The sequence below is a fragment of the Homo sapiens genome, chromosome 1 (assembly GCF_000001405.40).
Source record: "Homo sapiens chromosome 1, GRCh38.p14 Primary Assembly".
NCBI classification, from domain to species: Eukaryota; Metazoa; Chordata; class Mammalia; order Primates; family Hominidae; genus Homo; species Homo sapiens.
Window position 1 is genome coordinate 240,809,106 of NC_000001.11, and position 12,083 is coordinate 240,821,188.

Below are 12,083 nucleotides of genomic sequence, written 5' to 3' on the forward strand. Positions count from 1 at the left end.
TTTTTAGTCACTCAAAGATAAAAACTCATGATATTACTATGTTTTCTTAGCACTTGCTCTATGCTATGTGTTTTGCTCAAAAAAAAGAATGAGGGAAATACATCATAAAATTTCAAGTTTCTGCTCTCTATTAGGGAGAGCAGAGGGTATATTTGAAGCATAAGTAGTTATCGAGAAACAGTGCTTCTTATTTTTTTCCTGTCCTAATATTTGAAAAAAAATGCTCAGACGAGTGACACACTCACTGATAGCAGGAGGGCAGCTGTTTAGGTAAGATGCACGGAGAGTTATTTTATTTTAAGTGCAATTCACAGCCCTGTTGACCACTGGACCATTTTGTCTCCTTCAGTGTGTGACACAGATATGTCAGTGGAAGCAGAGTAGGGCTCAGATTTGGGGAGCAGTGGACAGTAGCTTGGTACTGGTTTGTAGGAAACCAAGAATGCCACTTACATGCAATCTGACCTCCTTAGCCACACTTTCTCGGCTTAACCTTCCTCAGCCACGCTTTTCTCATCTATAAAATGAGGCAATATTTACATTTTATGTTGTTTTGGTGGTTGGATGTGTGATGATCAGAAATAATGAATGCAAAATATAACAGCATACTTATAAAAGTAGTAGATATAAAATATATTCTGGTGTCTTGTAGGTATTCAAGAATTAATCTACATCTTTCATTTATCTACTGATCTATACTTACTAAGGAAACATATGATAGGCAATATAGTAGATACTCAAGAAATATATGTATATGTGTGTATGTATATAATGTGTGTGTATATATATAAGATAATCTAATATTTCTTAGATATAATCACTTAGCCTAGAGTCTAGTACGGCATAGAATGATTAAGATATGAAATGATTAAAGCTTGAACTAAGAAATTGGCAGGAATTCAATTCATGCCTGAAACCTAGTATGCACATGCTATCCTCTTTTTCCAAAGGCATCTTCTCTCTTCCTGTTTTGATGGTTTATCTCCTCCCCATTGTCCAGCTCTTAGCCTAGAAGCGATTTCCCCTAGTATCCCTTCGCTGATCTCTAACTCTGGGCTAGGCATCCCTCTCTGCTTCTCCCAACTAAACACCCATGATTTTGTGCTGTGATTTGTTTTCTTGTCTGTATCTACCAATAGACTGTAATTTTAATGAGAGAAGGCGATGTTTTTATTTGGCTAGGTGAGGCTGGTAAGGCTTATTACTTATTTATTTACTCATGATGATACAAATGATATCAGCATGTTTTCAAAAACTTAGAGAATGAGAGGAATGTCCATCTCCCTAGCCACTAAAATGCCTCAAGGATCCTTTATCTCTGCTTTATTTTTAATGCATTCTTTTTTTTTTTTTTTTTTTGAGACAGAGTCTTGCTCTGTTGCCCAGGCTGGAGTGCAGTGGTGCAATCTCAGCTCACTGCAACCTCCACCTCCTGGGTTTAAGCGATTCTCATTCCTCAGCCTCCCCAGTAGCTGGCACTACAGGCATGTGCCACCATGCCCGGTTAATTTTAATTTTAATTTTTTGTAGAGATGGAGTTTGCCATGTTGGCCAGGCTGCTCTCAAATTCCTGGCCTCAAGAGAGCCACCTGCCTCGGCTCCCAAAGTGCTGGGATTATAGGCGTGAGCCCTCGCACCTAGCCTTTTAATGAATTCTTGCACTCAATTATTGACAATGTGACCTAATATAGAAAATGTTATTAGTAGTCTCAATACAGAACTTTAGCAACTTTAGCAGCAAGATCTTGCAAAAGCCCAAGCATGAAGGGTTCCCATAAACTGGAAGGAGAATAGGAAGCTGCATGCCAGCAATCCATGCCAGGCACACACAGAGAGTTACATTCCTCCGGGTTCTGTCTGTGGTCATTTTGCTTCATCCATGCGACATGTGTCAGCGTCCTACATCTTTCTGAATGGTTTGGGATTCCTACCTGTTAAATCTCCTGAAAAGAACGTGACCATGCCTGGCACTACTTCGTTCCAATGAAAATAAATGAATGCAGAGAACTTTCAGTAAATGAATTTTACAGGACTGCATAAGTCATGGAAAAGTAAAAATTGGGCATCAGCTTTCAAAAGAATAATGAATGAAAGAACTCATGAAACAACAGTCTTATATAGTGGAAAGTTATCACTCCCTTCAATGATGTTAAATAGAGCTATTAAAATCCACTCTAATGTCTTATATTTAAAAATGCAATTTTCAGATCCTCCTTATGTTAGCAAGTTTTAAAAATATATAAAGATGATGTTTACAACAGATGGGCAGAATGGGTGTCACTCTCTCACGAACAGCTCAATGCTGTGCTGCTCTCAATTGCCCTGTGGCTATTATTTAAACATGCAAAGAGAATGAGACAGCCCAATAGTTTGGTTTCAAGTTATTTGATATAGCTGCCCAGTCTCTTCTTCTCTAACTTGCTTGAGAAGTGATACGCAAAGATAGTCAACAATGACAAATAGGTGATATTTTAATTGAACTTCATAAATGTTATTGGCCAATCTCCACTTTGCCAAACATTGTTCTCTGTACTGCATTTCTTTACAGAGTCCATTTCAAAGCCACCAAATTTGTATAGTTAAAACATCTGGAGATACAGAGACGGCGTAAAAATAAGTTATAAGAAATTGATACGTTGGACAGCCTTTGCCTTGCTATCTCTTTTCCCTTCATTAGGTGGCAGAAATTCAATGGGTTCATGACATCATTATGATGTTAGTGGAAGAATAATTGATCTATTACCTCCAAAATAACCAGACACATCACAGACAGTATTTCTCTGGCTTATAAGATCCAAGCAATGTGTTTTACCTTAAATTTTCCGAGCTGAATTCTGACTCTAGAAATTTAAGGAACTGTTCTCTCCCAACTGGGTCTTTCAATGCCTCGTCCATGCCAAAACCCCATCGTTTTACCCTCTGCTGGCTCGGTTCTTTGCTATAGAAGATAAAACAAAGGCAAATACATTCCTTTCATTAGAATTCCCATTTTTTTGTTATTACATTCCCCTTCAAAATCATGTGTGCCTCGAAGTTCCCATCTTTACCTTTTCTTTAAAAATATATATATCCGATTAACGGCTCTGCATGAAATCATCGTGTACATTAGTATTAATAATAAAGTCTAACATTTATTGAGCATTATGTGCCAGGCACTTTACATAAATGGTCTCTTTTTGTTTTTGCCAACCACTTTATGAGATAGCCACTATTAATCTTATTATTTTCCAGATGAGGACAGTGAGGCACAGTATTATCACTTGCCAATGTCAGGCAAGTAATAAGGGGTAAAGATCCAGATATTCTGACCCCAGTGCCACATTTCTTTTTTCTTTTTTTTTTTTTTGAGATGGAGTTTTGCTCTTGTCACCCAGGTTGGAGTGCAATGGCGTGATCTCGGCTCACTGCAACCTCCACCTCCCGGGTTCAAGAGAGTCTCCTGCTTCAGCCTCCCGGGTAGCTGGTATTACAGGCACCTGCCACTATGCCCGGCTACTTTTTGTATTTTTAGTAGAGATGGGGTTTCACCACTTTGGTCAGGCTGGTCTCGAACTCCTGACCTCAGGTGATCCACCCACCAAAGCGTCCCAAAGTGTTGGGATTACAGGTGTGCGCCACCATGCCAGGCACACATTTCTTAACCACTACGCCACACAGGGTCATGCAGGTATATTGAACTGGGGAAAATGCATTGGTAACCAAAAGATCTCAATACTAGCTAATGATTCTGGTGTCAATTAAATCTGTGACCTAATCCCAACTGAGTCACAACATTTTGGGGTTCCAGCTTTCTCATCTATAAAATCTTTAGCTTGTGGAGGAAGAGTTCTGGGCATGTCCAGTGTTTAAGATTCATGGCTGGATGCAAAAGTGAGAGAGACCAGAAATGCAATCTAGAGAACTGCTAGAAGTGTGACAGAGCACCCATCTTTTCTTTGTAAAGTGATACGCCATGATCCTCTTATGAGTCTGTTAAGACTGATGATGTAGTTCTTTCCCTAGATAGCTCATGAAAGAAACTATGGAGTCCTAAGTGGTGCTTTGCTTTTCTTAGGAAGTGTCTTGCCAGTTTCTCTTACAGTGTCTATGGTAAGCTCATTCTGTCTTAAAATTGAATTTATAAAGACATACTTGTGTTGGGCTTAAGTATGTATGGCTTTAGCATTCACTTTACTTGACTACATGAGACTTTGTGGCTACGTGAATTTTCCAGGAAGATAATAGCAATGAGCTAAATTTCAAGAGCTGAAGATCCTAACTCTGACTAATTGCACCTCTAATTTTGGGACGGTCTTTCCAGCAATGCAAATCTTAATGCAAATGCAAATCTTAATGCAAATGCAAATGTCTAAGTTTCAAAAGCCATGATCTCGAACAAGAATGTTAGATATAGGCCAATGTAGATAAAGAACAAAATTACATTCACAATTAGCCAACAATAAAATCCTTCCCATTTCACTCAGACCCTGAAATAAAGCAACATATGGGCGAGAAAGATAAAATGCCACCTACCTTGCCTCAAGTTCCCAGAAAGTGGTGTCATCGGACAGCCATGGGTTAGAAGGGTCAGGTGGCAAAAGAAACGGGTCGTATTCTAAATACTGTTCCGTGTAACTTAGTAGACTAAGGAGAAAAAACATTTCCAGTTTCTTTAGTTTTCTGACTGGGGTTGCAGCCAGTCCAAAGCAGGGAAAACAATATAAAAATGTGGGACCAAGGAATCCTTGTTCACTTAAAGCATGAAATCCAATGGCAATCTTCACGCTTCAGTAACTTTCATGCAACAACTTATTGTGCTTCTTGGCAGACAACTGTGGCTAAAGATTCCATCTCTACCCATGCCTAAGCCATGTAAATCAGTATCCCTTGGTTAACATGAAGCACTATGGAAGAGGTCAGTGTGTGAAGGGCACCGCTAAGAGTCAGTTCCAATCTTTGGTTAATCAGTCCACCCACAGCAGAACAGATTTTATACAACTGAGAGAAGGGCTTAAAAGGGAAATTTTGTCAAAAGTATTTACAGGAATTAAGTAAAATGGGAGCCACTGACAAGTTTTTTAAATGTATATAAAAATTTTAAAAAGGGAGAAGGGAAAGAAGTTGGGGAGGTAGGATTTGGCAATGCCCAAAAGTGAAGAATATGAATGGCATTAAGAACAGATTTAAATGAAGCAAAGGAAAATATCTGAAATTTGAGTTTCATTCATATTCTGAAGTCAGGCAGGAACAGTGTCAATTGTCATTGTTAAAATAAGTTTATAGAGAGGCTCCAGTTTGCCCAAAGGTCATCAATAAATGGAAAGTTTCATGTCTTCCAGCAGGAGTGAAAAGGCTAGACTCTGCAGAATTATCCTCTATATCTGATTCTTAGTGGAACAAGGACTGGATGTCTAGACATTTAAGACAATTATAATCATTCTGTCATTTAAACTACATCAAAAGAGTTCTTTGAAAGTTTTTCTATGTGCAAAAAGGAAAACAAAATCACATTACTTACAGGATTCCAATTATCTGTCCCAACTCCTGTCCCCACAGTTCTCTTTCATTTTTAAACACATGTAATTGTCATATGAAATTTTAAAATTTATACAGACACTTTGAAATACTCACCTGTCAGCGACTTTTGACATTTTTAACCGATGTCTATCTAACTGTATTTGCCAATATTTTATCTGAAAAGAGGGTTAGAGAAGGAGTTACATAAGTAATGACATTTTCACAATTTTCCACTCTAAATCATGATCAGCTGGGCAATTCTGAACAAGAGTATAGTCTACGTCAGTACAATTTCAAAGTTGGTTAAAAAAATAGAAGCAGAGGGCTCTTAAAGAGTTAACAAAATGAAATGTTGGAATTTGAACACAATTGATATCACTTTAGAAGAGCAATGAGTTTGACCATTCTGCCTACTTTAACAAAATGTGATTTTATTTTAAAATTGTAGAGATTTTGCTGGGTGCAGTGGCTCATGCCTGTAATCCTAGCACTTTGGGAGGTCAAGGTGGGTGGATCACTTGAGCCCAGGAATTCGAGACCAGCCTGGCCAACATAGTGAGACCCTGTCTGTAAAAAAATATATACAAAAAGTAGCCAGGTGTAGTGGTGCAGGTACTATAGTCCCAGCTACTCTGGGGGCTGAGGCAGGAGGATCACCTGGGACTCTGAAGCAGAGGTTGCAGTGAGCTGAGATCACACCACTGCACTCCAGCCTGGGTGACAGAACAAGATTCTGTCTCAAAAAAATAAAAAATAAAATTGTAGAGATTTTAAACGTTCATTCATGGTGAATACCTAAATCCAGAATCATACTTCCCTCCAAATTTAGAAAATAAATGTATTTATTACTATAATTTCAAAATAAATCCTATCTCCTAATACCAAGAAAGTATCAATGATATGTGTTTTGAGAATAATTTTATCAACAATTCATGACAAATGCTCACATGGAATAATCACACACAGAAAACTTTAATTAAAAACGCTCTGAATGACTTTTCCTTCCTGATTATTGTAAATATACTAGAAAAGTATATTTTACACTCTTGATAAACTATATTATAATAAAATATCAGAGGAAAAGAGTCAAAATGAGAATAAAGCCCCATAACTGAACCAATCATGAGATTATTTGATTTCAGACACTGGAGTTTGCTTTGAAATATTACTTGGAGTCAACACCATTGATCAAATGCTAAAAAAAAGAGGTAGTGTATAGCATGACTCCATGGCTGTACGCCAGTGGTGATAAGAAAAAACTTCAAGAGGTAGAGAGAAATCAGCACTGCAGAAAGCGAGAGTAAGCACTCTTGTGAAGAAAATGTCCTATCATTGGATGTGGGAAGTGTGACAATGTTCTCAACCTCTTGTCCTCTTACTCTTTAAAAGAGAGCTTTGGAGTACAAAGTAACTATTGATGATGGAGTCACTTACAAATCAGCATATGTGATTTTTACAATTGGTTAGAGGAACAAGGATTTGGGTAAATAAAGAGTGAGGGGTTTTGAAAACCATTACCATATATTGATACATTTTCAAGTAATTACAATACTTAAAATTACAACATTTTATTATCTTTTAACTGCAAATCTTCCACATGAAACAGTCAGTCATACAAATAACCTATAAAAATACCCACTATTAACATTTACCCTCTGGTTTTCATAGCTGTTACTCTGTAAACCTTTAACAGGTCATCTCATAGGTTGACTCACCTGTTGTTGTAACTCATCTTCTGTTGGAGGTTTAGTTTCTGGTGTGGGTGTGTGGGTAGGACTGTGACTTCTAATATCATTTTGTAAACCATAGACAGACTATATTAAAATAAAAAATAAACATTTTAGGACAAAATACCGTTTACAGTCACAGACTTTCTAAAAAGTAACTCTAGCATAAATTCAGTAAGGTCTCTCAAAGCTTATTTGATTAAGCTTCTTAACAAAATTCAAAAGGCACTGCTAAGATAAAAATCAAATGCATATAAAATAGAAGCACAGCTCGGAAAAAATGTGTAGTTAGATTATTAACTTTGACAGAATAATTGGTTATATGTAGAGAGCAAGGTGCATGTGATAAAATTTGAGAGCAAGCTGGGAATACCAAGTTGGAGAATGTCAACACTAACTAACATTTCATAAGCATTGATTTAAGAAAATAGAGAGGTGGATGAAGAATAGAATAGGAATGCAATAACTCAAAAGAAGATTTAAAAATAACTCGATATTTTACATAGGAATTAAATGGGGCACTGAGGAGAGTGACAAGTCAAGAATTCTATTGCTGATTTGATTTCTGATGGTGCAATAGAAGACACCAGGGTACTCCTACTCTCCATATCAACAGTGGGTTATTTACTTCACAACACTAGCCTTGCCATTGGGTGCCATTTGCAAACATCAGTGACCCCAGAGGCGTCATGCATCTTCGGAATTCTCAATACCCTTGTATTTTTTAATTAACTTGTCAAAAGGTCAGACCTACTACTTAGGAAGACTCTTTTTTGAGAAAGGCCCATTGCTTAGTAAGTATAAATAAAGATCTGGTGACTAAAGGGATAAAAAACTATCTGTAACTGACTATGAGACATCTCACGTGTCAACTCAAGGAAGAAGCCAAATTATTTCTTCTTGGATATCAAAGTATTATTCCTTTAAAATAAAGAATTTAATGTGTGTTATTGAGCACTTTTTCTTTGGATATGAGCAAGAAGGATGAGGGCATAATAAAACTGCATGAGCTCCACAAAATTAGTACCAGATAAAGTTTACAAAGACACTTTTGAAATTAGATGAGGTTAGATCCAGATGCCTAATGATGCCAATTTTCAGGCCCGTCACCAAGCTTGCCAATATCTCTAAATTCAATGTGTTTTTATTCCTGAACTGCTTTCACTTGGACCTTAAATCCACTTAACACTACGTCTTGACTCTGTATCTGTCTTGACTCTGTATCTGCACCTTTTGGATGTGGTTTTGCCCTTGTGTCTCCCGCCCTCCGTCCTTTTTATTTTTATTTTTTTGAGACAGAGTCTCATTCTGTCATTCAGGCTGGAGTGCAGTGGCGTAATCTTGGCTCACCGCAACCTCCGTCTCCTGGGTTCAAGTGACTCTCTTGCCTCAGCCTCCCAAGTAGCTGAGATTACAGGCACGTGCCACCACACCCGGCTAATTTTTGTATTTTTAGTAGAGATGGGGTTTCACCATGTTGGCCAGGCTGGTCTTGAACTCCTGACCTCAGGCGACCCATCCGCCTTGGCCTCCCAAAATGCTGGGATTACAGGCGTGAGCCACCGCGCCTGGCCTCCGTCCTTTTTTTGGTGCTCTTATCCTTTCTTTATAGATTTTAACTTGGACTTAATCATTGGAATAATCTATTCCCAGACTATCTTGGGTAGGCCTCTTCAGTGTCCTTTCTTGCCCTACCACCAGAACCTTGGAACCCAATTCCCATCACTGAGGATATCCATTTCTTTTTTTTCTTTTTTTATAATGCCAAACAAGAGGCAGGAAATGGCCATCCATTTCAACACAAGGATTTGCTCATATGCTTTGAATTTACTCTGAACAGGACGGAGCTGAATGTCTTAAACTAGCCCTTTTATTTCATTTATTTTTTCACTCATTCATTCATTCATTCAACATTTATTGAACACTTACTATATACTAGATATAGTACTAAGCATTAGGGAAATACAAATAAACAAAATAGATGTGCTTCTTTCTGCACTGGGACTCACAATCCAGTGGAAGGGAAAGAAGTTACACAGGTAATTACACAAATAAACATATGACTAAAAAAGGGAGCAGTATTATGAAACAAAAAAGAATAACAAGCATAGGGCCTGGAATATAAAGTGATTTAATTTACACTGAAGGAATGGAAATGGCCCAAACTGATACTAGCCATATTTGAACATGATTAAATAAAACAACCTTCTGAATTCTGAAATAACAGTAGAGGTTGATTTCTTAAAAATTATGTGTTATATACATAATGGAACACTATTCAGCCTTTATAGAACAAGAAATTCTGTCATTTGCAATAACATGGATGAGCCTAGAGGACATTATGTTTAGTGAAATATGCTAGGCAGAGAGGTCTTTACCATAGAATTACACTTATATGTGGAATATAAAAAAGCTAAAGTAGAGAGTAGAGTGACAGTTACCAGAGGCTGGGATAGGGGGTGAGGAAAAGAAAGCTCTTGGTCAACGGGTACAAAGTTAGTTAGTTAGGAGGAATAAGCTCTGGTGTTCTATTGGACAGCAAGGTGACTATTGTTAATAATAATGTATTCCATATTTCAAAGTAACTAAAAGAGAGGATTTTAAATGTTCTTGCCACAAAAAGGATAAATATTTGAGGTGACGAATATGTTGATTACTCTGATTTGTTCATTCCATGGTATATATGTTTATTGAATATTACCCGATAAATATGTGCAATTATTATTTGTCAATTAAAATTAGGCAACAGAAAGATCACCAATTATATAATAGTTCTACCTTTCAGTATCTGCTAGTTTTTCAACTGTATCACCTTAATTTTTGAGAAGAAAAATAAAAAGACTCTGAGACTTGAAGTTTCCATTCTTTTTTAACTTGGTTTAATTATTTAAAGTTTTTAAATAATAATCTACAGGTCATATAAACAGTGCTTATAAAAAATAGCTGATGGTTTTAACAGTAAGTTTTTAGGCGAAGATTAAAAAAATAACATAAAAGACTGCTAGAAAAACACAGCAATTTGTGGTATCATGAAAGTAAAATGATCTATAAGTTATCTTTTATCTCTACATTTCTATAATGATTTCAACATTTATGCATTTCCTGTAAACTTCATAGAGGTCCGATACGAGGCCGGGCGTGGTGGCTCATGCCTGTAATCCCAGTACTTTGGGAGGCTGAGGCAGGCATATCATGAGATCAGGAGATAGAAACCACTCTGGCCAACATGGTGAAACCCCATCTCTACTGAAAATACAAAATTAGCCAGGCATGGCGGCATGTGCCTGTGGTCCCAGCTACTTGGGAGGCTGAGGCAGGAGAATCACGTGGACCCAGGAGGCAGAGGCTGCAGTGAGCCAAGATCGCACCATTGCATTCCAGTCTGGCAACAGAGTGAGACTCCATCTCCACAAAAAAAACAAAACAAAAACACAAAGGTCCCATAAGAGACCATGACCCAAACCATTGGGAGGTGTTGCTTAAAACATCTTCCAGGAGCCTGGCTACTTGCTCTGAAGTTACTGCAGAGTTTCCATTTCTTGTCTTACGTAAAAGTCAACATCAGGAAGTCTCCCTTTCACCAATCTGAGTACTGTTCATTTCCTGGGGATAGTGATAGCGTTTAACTTTGATTGTTGGCTACAATGAAAACAGCCGAGAAGAATATAATTTTACATATGGGGATTATTTTATGGACAAAGGAGGCAAAGAGATTAATCCTATTTTGGCAGACAAATTATGAAAATTATTTGCAATGTAAAAGGCTTTGCATGTTTTAGAAAAAAAATGTATTCAAATCGTGGTACAGGGTGGGGTGGCATAGAACTAGAAACAGGTAAGGTTAGAGAGGAAGAGAAATAAAATCTCTTAATGTCTTAATATTTGCAGCTGGGGAAAATCAAATTAACTAATTGAGATCCATTTTTAGTTTTAATAGCAAGATCATTTATTTGCAATGCTTTGGCTTGATTAACACGTTCCTTTATTCCTATGGTGCTAAGACAAGCACTTTTTCATATGCAGTGCCATCTATTTATTCATTAAATAAAATAGATTCGGCCTCCTACATAAATCTGTTCATGTGTGATTTCCCTTGACATTTTAGAAGAGAACTAGAAAAATTATCCCGTTTTTTTTTTTAGGCAGGGGGTGGGGGTTTGCTATGGTCTGAATGTTTGTGTCTCTCCAAAATTCTTATGTTGAAATCCTCAACCCCTAATGTGATGGTATTAAAAGGTGGGGACTTTGGGAGGTGACTAGGTATGAGGGTGAAGCCCTTGTGAATGGGATTAGTGCCCTTATAAAGAGGCCTGAGGGAGCTCGTTTGCCGATTCCACGATGTGAGGACACAGCGAGAAGGCACCATCTTTGAAGCACAGAGTGAGCTCGCGAAAGATATTAAATCTGCTGGTGCCTTGATCTTGGACTTCTCAGACTCCAGAATTGTGAGCAATACATTTCTGTTGTTTATAAATTACCCAGTCTAAGATATTTTGTCACAGCAACTCAAACAGACCAAGAACTAAGTCAGAGACAGTAAAATAGAAACCACAAAGTACAAGAAGCCTTTCTGTGTTTCTATGTGAAATGTAATCTCTGGGGCTTTTCTGACTGACTGGTGTGGTAGTATTTCTCTTTCTTTCACGGTTGCTCAGCTGAGCTAGAGAACAGATTGTGACCATATCTGACACAATATGGAGGAAGTCAGTACACAGAAAGAAGCAGAGAGAAGGCAACCAGAGAGAGAAATCATGAGAGAGCTGGGTCGACTCACACCTCTGGGCAAGCTTGACCACTGCCTGCCACAAGGTTTCAGACCATGAATCAGAAAAGTCCCCTCTTGGCCGGGTGTGGTGGCTC

At 37.8% G+C, this 12,083-nt stretch overlaps 1 protein-coding gene across 22 annotated transcripts in view; it reads right to left on the reverse strand.

Annotated features, from left to right (window-relative positions):
- RGS7 (regulator of G protein signaling 7) overlaps positions 1-12,083 on the reverse strand; it is a 582,489-nt gene that overhangs the window by 34,364 nt on the left and 536,042 nt on the right. For 20 of the 22 annotated variants that reach the window (NM_001374806.1, NM_001374811.1, NM_001374814.1 and 17 more), the window contains 4 exons: positions 7,212-7,310; positions 5,611-5,672; positions 4,513-4,623; positions 2,813-2,938 (listed from right to left, as the gene is read on the reverse strand). In NM_001374806.1, coding sequence (NP_001361735.1) covers positions 2,813-2,938; positions 4,513-4,623; positions 5,611-5,672; positions 7,212-7,310 — 398 coding nt within the window. The remainder of the gene's footprint in view (positions 1-2,812; positions 2,939-4,512; positions 4,624-5,610; positions 5,673-7,211; positions 7,311-12,083) is intronic. The other 2 variants (NM_001374816.1, NM_001374815.1) reach the window with 1 other exon arrangement.